This window comes from Homo sapiens, chromosome 21 (assembly GCF_000001405.40).
Source record: "Homo sapiens chromosome 21, GRCh38.p14 Primary Assembly".
Taxonomy (NCBI): Eukaryota; Metazoa; Chordata; class Mammalia; order Primates; family Hominidae; genus Homo; species Homo sapiens.
Genome location: NC_000021.9, coordinates 33,294,267 through 33,306,388, shown reverse-complemented (window position 1 = coordinate 33,306,388; position 12,122 = coordinate 33,294,267). Strand labels below are relative to the sequence as shown.

The window sequence follows — 12,122 nt, the reverse complement described above, 5'->3', positions numbered from 1 at the left end:
GTTTGAACACCTTACAAATCTGATACACATGAATATAATTGTTACAAAACTTTTCAGTATAAACCTCCAAAAACCTTTTTATAAAAATGTCAATGTTGTGGATCTAAATTTGCTTTGTCACAGTCTCTGTTCTTATATTCTTTTCTCATATTGCTTCCCTGGGTGCTGTAGGCCTTCCATCTGCCTCTCCAGATCCATTCTTCTCTGGGCCTGCCCTGTTCCATGCCCTGGGAGACTTCTTGTATAAAATGCATCAAAAATGGGTGTGGTGGCTCATGCTTGTATTCCCAGCACTTTGGGAGGACGAGGTGGGCAGATCACTTGAGGTCAGAGGTCCGAGACCAGCCTGGCTCACATGGTAAAACACTTACTCTACTAAAAATACAAAAATTAGCTGGGTGTGGTCTTGGGTGCCTGTAATCCCAGCTACTTGGGAAGCTGAGGCAGGAGAATCAGTTGAACCTGGGAGGTGGAGATTGCAGTGAGCCGAGATTGTGCCACTGCACTCCAGCCTGAGCAACAGAGCAAGACTCCATCTCAAAAAAATATTAAAAATTAAAAAAAAATTCATCAGCAGAGTCCTTTACCCTCTGACTTTGGGTGGGTTCCACCAGTGGGAGGCATCAGCCCAAGATCAGAGGGTGGGGGACAATGAGGTGTGCTCTCTTCCTGCAGGGTCTCCATTAGTGGGCTGTGTGGCTGACCCCTGTGCTCTCCAGGGTAATGGCTCCTCCCCTGCCTCCCAACAGGCCTAGAGCTAGTGAGCTTCCCACTATTGCTACTGTATTGTTTTTTGGTTTCCCTTCACCCTGCCTACGCTGCTACAATAAGATCCTTCATTATGCCTTTCTCAGTTACTCTGTTGGAGTGTGTCATGGGTTTCCCGTTAGGACTCTGACCTATTGATAGGTCATGACCTAGGAAGTGAGAGTGACCTTTGCTTACCAGTGTAGGTGATCAATACAGGTTAACAGTTGAAGGGCCGGGCATGGGGCTCATGCCTGTAATCCCAGCACTTTGAGAGGCCGAGATGGGAGGATCACTTGAGCTCAGGAGTTTGAGACCTACCTGGGCAACATGGCGAAACCCTGTCTCTATAAAAAGAAAAAAAAATTAGCCTGTCGTGGTGGTGCGCATCGGTAGTTCCTGCTACTCCAGAAGCTGAGGTGGGATAATCACCTGAGCCTGGGGAGATGGAAGCTGCAGTGAGCTGAGATCATGCCACTCCAGCCTGGGTAACAGAGGAAGACTCTATCTCAAAACAACAACAACAAAAACAGTTGAAGACTTAGAACCAGGGATAGGAGATGGTACTTCCTCCCACGAGACCTTATCTACATAGAATAGTAGAATAGGCTCTTTACCTTTTTTGGACAGCCTTTGCTCATTATGTAAGGAACTGTGGAGGTTATTGGCTCTAACCAGCCAGTTTTGCTTTTTTTGTGTCCTTAGTCTTACGATCTTTAGGAAAATAACGCTGTTTGAATGTCTTATCTTGATAGTACAGCCTGAGACAAGACAATGACTAATCACATAGTGTTTGTGATGCCACCAATAAAAGCCATTTTGTAACTGCTTGTTTGAAGAAGGAACTGGCTTGGTTTAACTGATTACAAAAGTGCTGATCAATTCAGTCAACTGAAACATCAATTTCATGTCTTCCTGGCCATTCAGACCTGCAATGATGAGGCGTCTGCTACTGTAGATCTGGCTCTGTGTATACTTGGGAGCTGGGGAACTCACAAAATCCCCAGGAGAGTGCGCATGCTCAAAGGTAGGGGGCCTTTCAGGGCAGCCCATTTGGGATCCTTGCAAGCTTTCAGGAAAACAGTATCAGTGATGCTCTGTTAGCTGGTGCTGAAGAAAGAACCAGAAGAAAAAGAAACCACGATTGCACCTTGAGGGACGGTGTGTAATCTCTGGATGGATATTGGCTGGATCAGCGGTAATCCAGCCATCCTGCTGATGGCTCAGCAGGCCGAGTCAGCATGGCTTGTACTTTGCCGGCTGACTCGGTGTTTGAATTTCCCTGCCTTCAGGCTTTGGCTGTTCAACTGGGCTTAGTGTCAATCACTTTTTGATGCATCTTCAGGCTGGGTCCTTTTTTCCTCCAGACTGCTGTGGAAACTAGAAACAGAGCAACAATGCCAACATTCCCCCTGGGAGGGCTCTTCTTCAGCCCCCTTCCTGGCCAACAGCGCTGTGCTGTGCTGTCCCCGCCGTGGCAGAAATGCTCATTGTGCTGGGAAGGAGGAGCCAGCCATCTTGCAGACCCTGCTACTGGCTGGTCACCAAGCTGGGCACCTTGCAGCTTTTCTGTCACTGGTTTTCTAGCGGGCTCTGGCACTGCCCCATCAGCCCTCTGCCTGGTCAGGTGGGCTCACTTTCTCATTCCCCTAGGGAGCTGCTCCATCCTACTCATTTCCTCCCAAGCCCCTCTCTTCCCTCCCTTTGTTGATGACCTATACTTTGCCAGGAACATAGAAGACACCAGGCTTCCTTAACCCCTCACCCCCTTAGTGGGATCACCTGCCTATCCCTGGCCTGTGTTCTCTCCAGTGACAACCTCGGGAGTATCCCTCCTCCTGCCAAAGGCCAGAGCGGGGGCTGTAGGTCTGGTCACTTCTCTTGTGTCCTTTCCAGGGACATCAGGCCTTCTCTCATGGGTGTCAGCAATGCATCTGTCAAGGGCTCAGCTAATCTGGAGAGAGTGGCTAATTGAAGCAATAAGGCAAAAATGAAAGTAACAGAAACACCTGTAATCCCAGCACTTTGGGAGGCCAAGGTGGCCGGATCACTTGAGGTCAGGAGTTCGATACCAGCCTGGCCAACATAGTGAAACCCCGTCTCTACTAAAAATACAAAAGTTAGCTAGGCATGGTGGCACACAACTATAGTCCCAGCTACTCGGGAGGTTGAGGCAGGAGAATCGCTTGAACCCGGGAGGTGGAGGTTGAAGTGAACTTAGATTGTGCCACTGCATTCCAGCCTGGGCAACAGAGCAAGACTCTGTCTCAAAAAAAAAAAAAAAAAAAAAAGAAAGTAACAGTGAAGCCCTCATCACTCACTGCAGGGGCAGAAGCAAGAGGATTCCACCCTCCCCGCAACAGAGCTCCAGTCAAGAGTCAAGTAATCAGTATAGATGTGGGGGTGAAGGTCATCTCTCTGTTGAGGCTTCTGTAGTTTTATGGACCCGGGAACTAGCGGGAGGGAGAGAGGACAGGGCCAGGAGTAGGAAAGAACTGAGTCAGAGAGGATAACAATGTCTTCGTGGCTCCCCCTTCCCTACTCCCTGAGAATAAGGAGGCCTTAGTTGAGGTGCCTGAAGAAGGCCTTGGGCACACGTGCAAGGCTGGGAACACAGGTGTGCATAAGAGCATGGCCAGCAGGGGCCTGAGACCTTGACCGCAGCTCCCTCCAGGGACTGCAGTGCACTGGCTATGCCAGTTCTGGTCTGGAGAGGGAGCCTCCCTGTGAGGCCTCCTTGGTACAGCCTTAAAGTTGCCCAGGGTCAGTCCTGAAAAACCAGCCCTGGGATTCTAACTAGGAGCCGGACTCCTCATTTCCTGTCTACAGGCCTCAGGCGACAGTATACCATGGTGGTGTAATATCACTCACCTGAAATATCCCCCCCTCGACTTTCTTCTTGCCCCTTCCAGACACTGTCACACTTCTTCTGAGCCCAAAAGCCGTCCTTCTCAAAGGAGTTGGCTACACCTGCTGTCCCAGCTTCTCCACACCCTCCTGTTCACTCCTCAATACCATGAAGTCTAGACTTTATTGTCATCACTCTGCGGCAACAGGTCTTCCCAAGATCTCTAGATTAGGCTGGGTTCCCTGGAAACACACTCTGGAAGGAAAATTTGCATGTGGGAAATTCATCTGGAAATGCTCTTGGGGACAACACTTGTAAGGAGTGAGGAAAGTAGGATTGGGCAGAGGGAGAAGTTGGAGATGGATGATGATTCAGAGTTGCCTGAAGTTAACGCAAGGGGGCCCAGCCTTGGCACTCCCGCATGGAGCAGTCATCGGGGAACCCCCAGCTTCCATTTCCCTAGAAATGAAAGAAGTCTCCTGCCTGGCAGAAGGGGCGTGACTTATGCCTGATTGGCAGCTCCCTGGATGAGGAGCAGGGAATCGCTGAAAGTCCACCTTGAGCTCCAGCCTCTTGTTTTTAGAACAGTGCCTCACCCTGTTGCTGTTGGATTGAGAACCTCGATTCCCTGTTCGTTGTTGGCTGGAGGAGGCATCCTCAGGTCCTAGCCATGTGACTTCTCCAATATGGCAGCTTGCTTCATGCAAGTGTGCTGTCCAAGAAGGCAACAGAGAGAGTCTGCTGGCAAGATGAGAATTACAATCCTATGGAATCTAAGACAGCATCCTGTCACCTGTGTCGCTTTCCATGGGTAGAAGCAGGTCATTGGCACTGTCCACACTCAAGAGGAAGGGATTACTCAAGGGTGTGGCTACCAGGAGGTGGGGATCATGGGTGGCTATCTTAGATGATTGAGTCTGGAGCCAGACCACTTGGGTTCAAGTCCTGGCTCTGTCACTTCTTGCCTGTGTGATCTTAGGTAAGTGATTGAACCTCTCTGTGCCATAGTTTCTTTATCTGAAAAATGAGGCAGATAATAGTATCTGCTTAACTGGGTTGCTGTGGGAATTAAATGAAAATGTAAAAGTGCTTAGAACAAGACCTGCACATAGGAAGCAGTAAGTAAGGGTTGGCTATCGCTCCCACCCCATCAGCTCCATAGGGCAGGTGTGCAATGCGACCCTCAGGGGCAGCCCAGTAGCAGGCAGGCCCCAGGCAGAGGCCAAGAGGAGGGGAACTGCAGCTGGCTTGTGTTTCCTGTTTATATTGAATTGTTTAACCCAATTTAAAGTCTGTCCTTGCCATGACTCCTCCTGCTCAGAGATATTACTCCCACAGCTTTAACCTTCCGGTTATCTTTTTTATCACAATCCAACAGCAATAAATTTGACCTCGTAAAGTGCCAGCCCAATAGTCAGTGGCTGTTTAATTAAGAGTTCTCATGGGCATGGAAACAAAGACATTGTTTGGTGTCTGCTTGATTCAAACAGGAGTGGTGAGGTGGTCAGGAGACAGAACCATGGACCTGACTCAGGGAGAAAAATCATGTTGAGTCTCTGAGTCTCTAGTTCATAAAATAGACTTTGTTTTTTACTTCCCGTTTGTTTTTTAAGGAAGTTGATTTGCAACAGCATTTTCTGAACTAGAGAGTTCAGGAAATGGGACAGTGAGGCAGCATGCCCAGTCATTCTCAGCTAACTCCCTTGCTGAGAAGAGTAAGATACTAAGTTCCCGTAAAATAAATCTGAATGACCCTCTGCCCATCTTCTTCCCCATTTTAGATACTAAGAAGATATTAGAACTGGTCAGGGTAAAACAACAGAGTCTTTCCGTGCTGGATTAAGTTTCCTGCGGCAGAAGTAACAAATGATCGCAAGCTGGGTGGTTTAAAACAACAGAAATTGTCCAAGGAATGTAGCCCAGTAGGTTTCAGCCTTACTTTACCCAGCCCCTCTTCAAGATGGAGTCGCTCTGGTTCAAACACCTCTGAGAACGGCATCAGCAGATTGAGTGTCTGGTGAGGGCCTGTCCTCATAGGTGGCACCTTCTCTGTGTCCTCACATGGTGGAAGAGATGGGCAGCTCCTCTTTTATGAGGTCATTAATCCCATTCACCACCTCCTAAAGATTTCTACATACGAATTTTGGAGAGGCACAAACATCCAGACTGTAGCATCTGGATATCCTGTACAGAACATAACTGTTTTCTTTCACTTTGCATATTTGTTTTATTTTTGTTTTTCGCTTGCATATGTTTTATGGTGATTTGTTAACTTACAGCTCTCTGTTTAATCTGCATGTATAATTGTCATGTATCCCAAGAAGGCTTTTGTTTACCTTTTTTTTTTTTTTTGAGATGGAGTTTCCCTCTTGTCACCCAGGCTGGAGTGCAGTGGCACGATCTCGGCTCACTGCAACCTCCGCCTCCCGGGTTCAAACAATTCTTCTGCCTCAGCCTCCTGAGTAGCTGGGATTACAGGCACCTGCCACCACGCCTGGCTAATTTTTTGTATTTTTAGTAGAGACGGGGTATCACCATGTTAACCAGGCTGGTCTCAAACTCCTGACCTCAGGTGATCCACCCACCTCGGCCTCCCAAAGTGCTGGGATTACAGGGGTGAGCCACCGCACCTAGCCATCATTATTTATTATCCATTAATTCAACAAATATTTCTTTGTACCAGCTACTTAGGATTATCTTATTAGGCACAAAGAAAGGGGTAGCAACTTGGAGAATTGCTTCCCAGGTGGTCAGTGGTGAGCAGCCGAGAAGGCTGAAGTGCATGGGAAGGATGCATTCCTGGGGCATGTTTCCCAGAGACACTCACAACCCCTCAGGAAAGAAATCTTCCTGTGGAAGCACAAGGTAATGAGTGGAGTCAGTTAGCTGGGTATTAAAAGAAAGCGACCCCTTTGAAAGCCAGATAACATAAGGTCACACAGAAGTGCAGGTAAGCACGTCCTTTCAATCTATCATAACTGCTCTGCTACAGCAGCTGTTCTCCACCTTGACTGCAAACTGGAATCACCTAGGAGCTTTAAAAAATGCTGATGCAAAAATCCCTCTGCAGAGAGCTGAAATTCATTGGTCATGGTAAGGCCTGGGCATCCACATTTCTAAAGCTCTCCTGGCGGCCACAGTGTGCAGCTACGGCTGAGACCCATGGTTGTGAGAGGAAGGAACAAAGGTGCCCTGGAGGCTAAACCAGTCTGGGGATGGGTGTGGGAGGTATGTTAGGGGAGGGGCAGGAGCCCCAAAAGGAAGTGAGATATTTTCAACAAGGCGAGGCAGCCAGAAAGAGCGAGGAGGAAGGGTGGAAGGGGGTGAGGATGGCTTACACTGTCTTCCCCTCAGGGAATCTTTCAAACCAACTGGACATATGTTTTCTGCTAGAATGTCTGATTGGTGGCCCACAGATGCTCTGCTGAAACCCCTTCTGGTCCCAGAATTCTTGGACATTTTCCCACAGGTGTTCTTCCCTTAGTCACTTCCTGGTGAAGTGGCATCCTTTGTCTGGGGAAATACCCAAGATTCATTGTCTTATGCTAAGGAAATTGAAGTCACAGACACAGGAAATCGAAGACATGGACACACAAAAACTGGGTTTAACAGTGGAAGTTCAATAGTTGAAAGAAAGAAGAGAGAGCTTCCTTGTGCAGAGGGAGGGGGTGCGAGTGGGTCCGAGTGGGTTTCCGGGTTTGGGGCAAGATACGGTTGGTTTTACAGATGAGCTTGAAGAGGCAGTGTTTGATTTATATAGGGCATAGTGGATTGGTTGGGCCAGCTGTGCCATTTACATAGCCCACAAAGAGGCTGGCCATCCCACCCTAATCTTTTATTCTGCAGATGGGGTCTCTACCTGGCCAGCACCATGACACCTGCACACATGACGACAAAGAGAAGGGAGGAGGAACCTCCATATTGGATGTACTTGGCTTCCAGGTATCCCTTTTCTATTGGCACAGCTGCCGCATTCACCTGTGCAAGCTTCCAGCTTGCTAATCTACGCTTGCAGCTTGATTTTTCAGGCTTGTATCCTAACCACTCATATTTTCCATTCTTTTGTTTCTCTGTACTGTGCCCTGGATAATAACTTCTTTTTTCTTTAAAAAAGTGTAACAAGATCTTAAAATTCAATTTCAAAAATAATTTTTTATTTTATTATTTATTTATTTATTTAGAGATGGAGTCTCGCTCTGTCACCCAGGCTGGAGTGCAGTGGCACGATCTTGGCTCATTGCAGCCTCCACCTCCTGGGTTCAAGTGATTCTCCTGTCTCAGCTTCCCAAATAGCTGGGATTACAGGTGTGCACCACCACGCCTGGCTAATTTTTGTATGTTTAGTAGAGACGGGGTTTCACCATGTTGTCCAGGCTGGTCTCGAACTCCTGACCTCAGGTGATCCACCTGCCTCAGCCTCCGAAAGTGCTGGGATTACAGATGTGAGCCACCACACCCGGCCAAATTTTATTTCTATATACATGCAGCAAACATTGAAAAAAGTTTCAAAAAAGCAATCACAGATCTACCCTCCCTATGATGGTTAATTTTATGTGTCAACCAGCTAGACTGATTAGGTAAAATGCGAGTCTTGATGTTGGTGTGAAGGTATTTTTAAAGATGAGATTAACATTTAAATCCATAGATTTTTGAGTAAAGCAGATTACCCTCCATAATGTGGGTGAGTTTCACTTCTATCACTTGAAGGAAGGCCTTAAGAGAAAAGAAGCCTGAGGTCCCTTGAGGAGGAGTTAATTCTGCCTCCAGACTGCTTTTGCTCAAGCTGAAACATCCACTCTTACCTGGGTCTCTAGCCTGTTGGTCTGCCCTGCAGTTTTTGAACTTGCCAGCCTCCACAGTTCCTTCAAATAAATCTCTATGTTCATTCTATTGGTTCTGTTTCTCTGGAGAACCCTAATACCCTTCCTTTTCTCTTTCTTTTCTTTTTTTTCTTTCCTTTCTTTCTTTCTTTTTTTTTGACAGGGTCTCATTCCATCACCCAGGCAGGGCCGGAGGGCAATGGCATGAACATAGCTCACTGCAGTCTTGACCTCCTGGGCTCAAGCTATCCTCCCACCTCAGCCTCCTGAGTAGCTGGGACTACAGACACATGCCACCATGCCTAATTTTAAAACTTTTTGTAGAGAAGGGGTCTCACCATGTTGCCTGGAATGGTCTCAACTCCTGGGCCCAAGTGATCCTCCCACTTCAGCCTCCCAAAGTTCTGGGATTACAGAAGTGAGCCATTGTACCTGGAGACTCCCTTTTTTGCTCAGTTCTGTGTCTAATCTGTTGTTAAGCCTGTCCCCTGGCTTTTTAAACTTCCACAACTATACTTTTTATTTCTAGGTTTTTTTTTTTTTAATAACGGATCTGGCCCTTGACTGCAATTCTAGTTTTTGAAGCTTTAGACTGAGAGCTCCCAGATGACTGAGACCTAGTACCTAACACAGTGCCTGGTCAACAGCAGGCAGGGTCTAGGAAGTACTTGTGGAATGAGTGGACATCAAGATGGCAAACTAGAGCCTTTTTCAGTATCTAACAATGACACACAGGTAGTATCATGAACACATATAGTGCAACACAGAGTAAAACTTTAATGGAGCACCAGCAGCATATAAAACATATATAGGTAGAAAAATAAATTCAAAGTACTGCAAAGAATCCAAAAGTCCGTGCTCTGTGTAGCATTGAGCTGACCACCCTTGAGTTGAGGTCGATTTTCAGATCAGTCCATCCATAATCTGGTAGAATGTTACATCTACCAGATGTAACATCTCCATTCTTATTCCTCATTTTAAGTATTTCTGTTTCTCACAATTTTTTTTTTTTTTTTTTTTGAGATGGAGTCTCACTTTGTCACCCAGGCTGGAGTGCAGTGCCGCTATCTCGGCTCACTGCAACCTCCTCCTCCTCCTCCCGGGTTCATGCAATTCTCCTGCCTCAGGCACTCGAGTAGCTGGGATTATAGGCATGCGCCATCATGCCTAGCTAATTTTTGTATTTTTAGTAGAGACTGGGTTTCACCATATTGGCCAGGCTGGTCTTGAACTCCTGACCTCAAGTGATCCGCCTGCCTCGACCTCTAAGGTGCTGGTATTACAGGCGTGAGCCACTGTGCTCGGCCCTGTTTCTCACAATTAAAACATGATCTTATTTTAGTGATATAAAAGGCTGAAAATTACACTCTCAGTGGCCAACTTCTGAAAACATCATGAAAGCCTTTATAAGGCAGTGAGTTCCCAAATGGAGTATTTTTGCCAAGACAGCCTTTAAAATGTAGCTCTCTGGTGGCTAAGTCCAGGGTCTGGGAGTTCTAGATGTGGGGCTGGCTCAGATGGTCTTGGCCCTTGTTTGCTGCCCTGATCCCTCACTGAGGCAGATGTGAGATGGAGTACGTCACTGTGCCCAGCCGAGTGTGTTTCCTTCTCAGAGCCTAGCTTTGGGGCCCCTGCCCAGGCGGGGTCCCGAGGCTGCAGCTGTCACCAGGATTCTGCTTGCCGCTCTCAGAGTCTTCTGCAATGACACTTAGCTTGTCAAAAACATCATTCTCATCCGACAATGGAAAGGAGAAAAACAGAAGTGTGTTATGATGAGGATGGCCCAAAAACTGTGGAGGGAAAGAGGACAGTTAATGATCAATTTTCTCCATTTCTTTTTCTGGGTTTACAAAGATTTTTTCACAGAACTCCTGGCTGGAAAATCTATTTTATTTTATTTATTTATTTTTAATGTTTATTTTATTTTTTTGAGACAGAGTCTTGCTCTGTCACCCAGGCTGGAGTGCAGTGGCACGATCTCAGCTCACTGCAACCTCCACCTCTCAGGTTCAAGCAATTCTCCTGCCTCAGCCTCCCAAGTAGCTGAGATTACAGGCATGTGCTACCACGCCAGCTAATTTTTGTATTTTTAGTACAGATGGGATTTCACCATGTTGGCCAGGCTGGTCTTGAACTCCTGACCTCAGCTGATCCACCCACCTTGGCCTCCCAAAGTGCTGGGATTACAGGCGTGAGCCACGGCCTCTGGCATCTTTTGATTTATTATTTATTTTTATTTTATTTTTTTACAAGTGGGGATACTCACTGCTATACAAACGAAGATTTTTTTTTTTTTTTTTTTGAGATGGAGTCTCGCTCTGTCGTCTGGGCTGGAGTGCAGTGGCACAGTTTTGGCTCACTGCAACCTTTGCCTCCCAGGTTCCAGAGATTCTCCTCCCTCAGCCTCCTGAGTAGCTGGGACTACAGGTGCCCGCCACCATGCCTGGCTAATTTTTGTATTTTTAGTAGAGATGGGGTTTCACCACGCTGGCCAGGCTGGTCTTGAACTCCTGATCTCAGGTGATCAACCTGTCTCAGCCTCCCAAAGTGTCAGGATTACAGGTGTGAGCCACCATGCCCGGCCAATCTTTGGACTTTTTTTTTTTTTTTTTTTTTCAGACGGAGTCTTGCTCTGTCACCCAGGCTGGAGTGCAGTGGTGCGATCTCAGCTCACTGGAACCTCCACCTCTCGGGTTCACGCCACTCCCCTGCCTCAGCCTCCCGAGTAGCTGGGACTATAGGCGCCCACCACCTTGCCTGGCTAATATTTTTAGTAGAGACAGGGTTTCACAGCGTTAGCTAGGATGGTCTCGATCTCCTGACCTCGTGATCTGCCCACCTTGGCCTCCCAAAATGCTGGGATTACAGGCGTGAGCCACCGCACCCGGCCCAATCTTTGGACTTTTTAAAAATGTGGCTACTAGCAAATCTAAAACACACATGGCTTGCAATATGCTCTATCAGACAGAGCTGCCTTCTCACTTTTAATAGACACCAACTCTTCTCAGTTTGTGTCACCTGTAGCCAGGGCTCCTTAAGGGCAGGGACCACAGTCTAATAATCTTTGTCTCTCCGGTGCTTTGAACGATGAAGATGCCCCTATACATTTCCTGAAATCTCTGCTGGTTTCCCACTCTCCATTCTTCATCTTCCTAGGTCCACCAGTGCTCTTAATCTTCACAATTAGACGGAGAACCTTCTGTAAAGCTTTGCATCTTGAACCCTTTCCCTACAGATGGAACCCCTCTTAATGTCATTTCTACACTCAGCCTTCTGGTATGACTTAATGGAACCTGAGGGTAGCTCCACTACCTCCTGGCATGGACCTGTAGGGATTTTTCCCTTGTGGGTTTTGAGCAGCTGATGGAGGGTGGTGGGGTGCTCCTCTGTTGGGCCAGGAAGGAGGCTGGAGGGAAGGGGAACCTCTCTAAACTTTGGATCCAGTGGATTAATGAGAATGGACTGGAAGCTACTCTGGATTTTCCTGGGATAATGGGGACAGGAGAGATCAAAGGAAGGTGTATTAAATCTCAAGGAAGCAGTATCAGCTGAGTCTCCCGGTTGGACACACACACACACACACGCACACACACACACACACACAAACTGGTGGCTGGCTCAATAGATCAGTGTAGGATGAACCTCCCTAGTGCTTTTTTAACTCAAAGTCTCCATTCCTAGCAAATCTCCCTGAACTCGAAATGATC

General features: G+C 47.3%; 2 protein-coding genes across 6 annotated transcripts in view, besides 2 other annotated features; both read right to left on the bottom strand.

Annotated features, from left to right (window-relative positions):
• IL10RB (interleukin 10 receptor subunit beta) overlaps positions 1 to 12,122 on the bottom strand; it is a 43,816-nt gene that overhangs the window by 3,794 nt on the left and 27,900 nt on the right. For 2 of the 5 annotated variants that reach the window (NM_000628.5, NM_001406840.1), the window contains one exon: positions 9,168 to 10,205. The exons of the other annotated variants lie outside the window; for them this stretch is intronic. In NM_000628.5, the coding sequence (NP_000619.3) occupies positions 10,032 to 10,205 (174 nt within the window). In that variant the 3' untranslated portion in view covers positions 9,168 to 10,031. Of the gene's footprint in view, positions 1 to 9,167; positions 10,206 to 12,122 lie in introns of those variants that run through there. 5 annotated transcript variants of the gene reach the window in all.
• Positions 1,754 to 2,253: an enhancer, noted in NCBI's record as "H3K4me1 hESC enhancer chr21:34676441-34676940 (GRCh37/hg19 assembly coordinates)". NCBI's record gives its function as "activates a minimal SCP1, AML or CMV promoter by ChIP-STARR-seq in naive H9 embryonic stem cells {active_cell/tissue: H9 hESC(naive)}" and the evidence as "EXISTENCE:reporter gene assay evidence [ECO:0000049][PMID:30033119]".
• Positions 4,915 to 4,964: an enhancer, noted in NCBI's record as "active region_18375". NCBI's record gives its function as "activates an Ori minimal core promoter by ATAC-STARR-seq in GM12878 lymphoblastoid cells {active_cell/tissue: GM12878}" and the evidence as "EXISTENCE:reporter gene assay evidence [ECO:0000049][PMID:35858748]".
• Positions 9,168 to 12,122, bottom strand: part of IFNAR2-IL10RB (IFNAR2-IL10RB readthrough) — a 67,284-nt gene continuing 64,329 nt past the window's right edge. Inside the window, exon 13 of the mRNA NM_001414505.1 lies at positions 9,168 to 10,205. Within this exon, the coding sequence (NP_001401434.1) occupies positions 10,032 to 10,205 (174 nt within the window). The 3' untranslated portion in view covers positions 9,168 to 10,031. The remainder of the gene's footprint in view (positions 10,206 to 12,122) is intronic.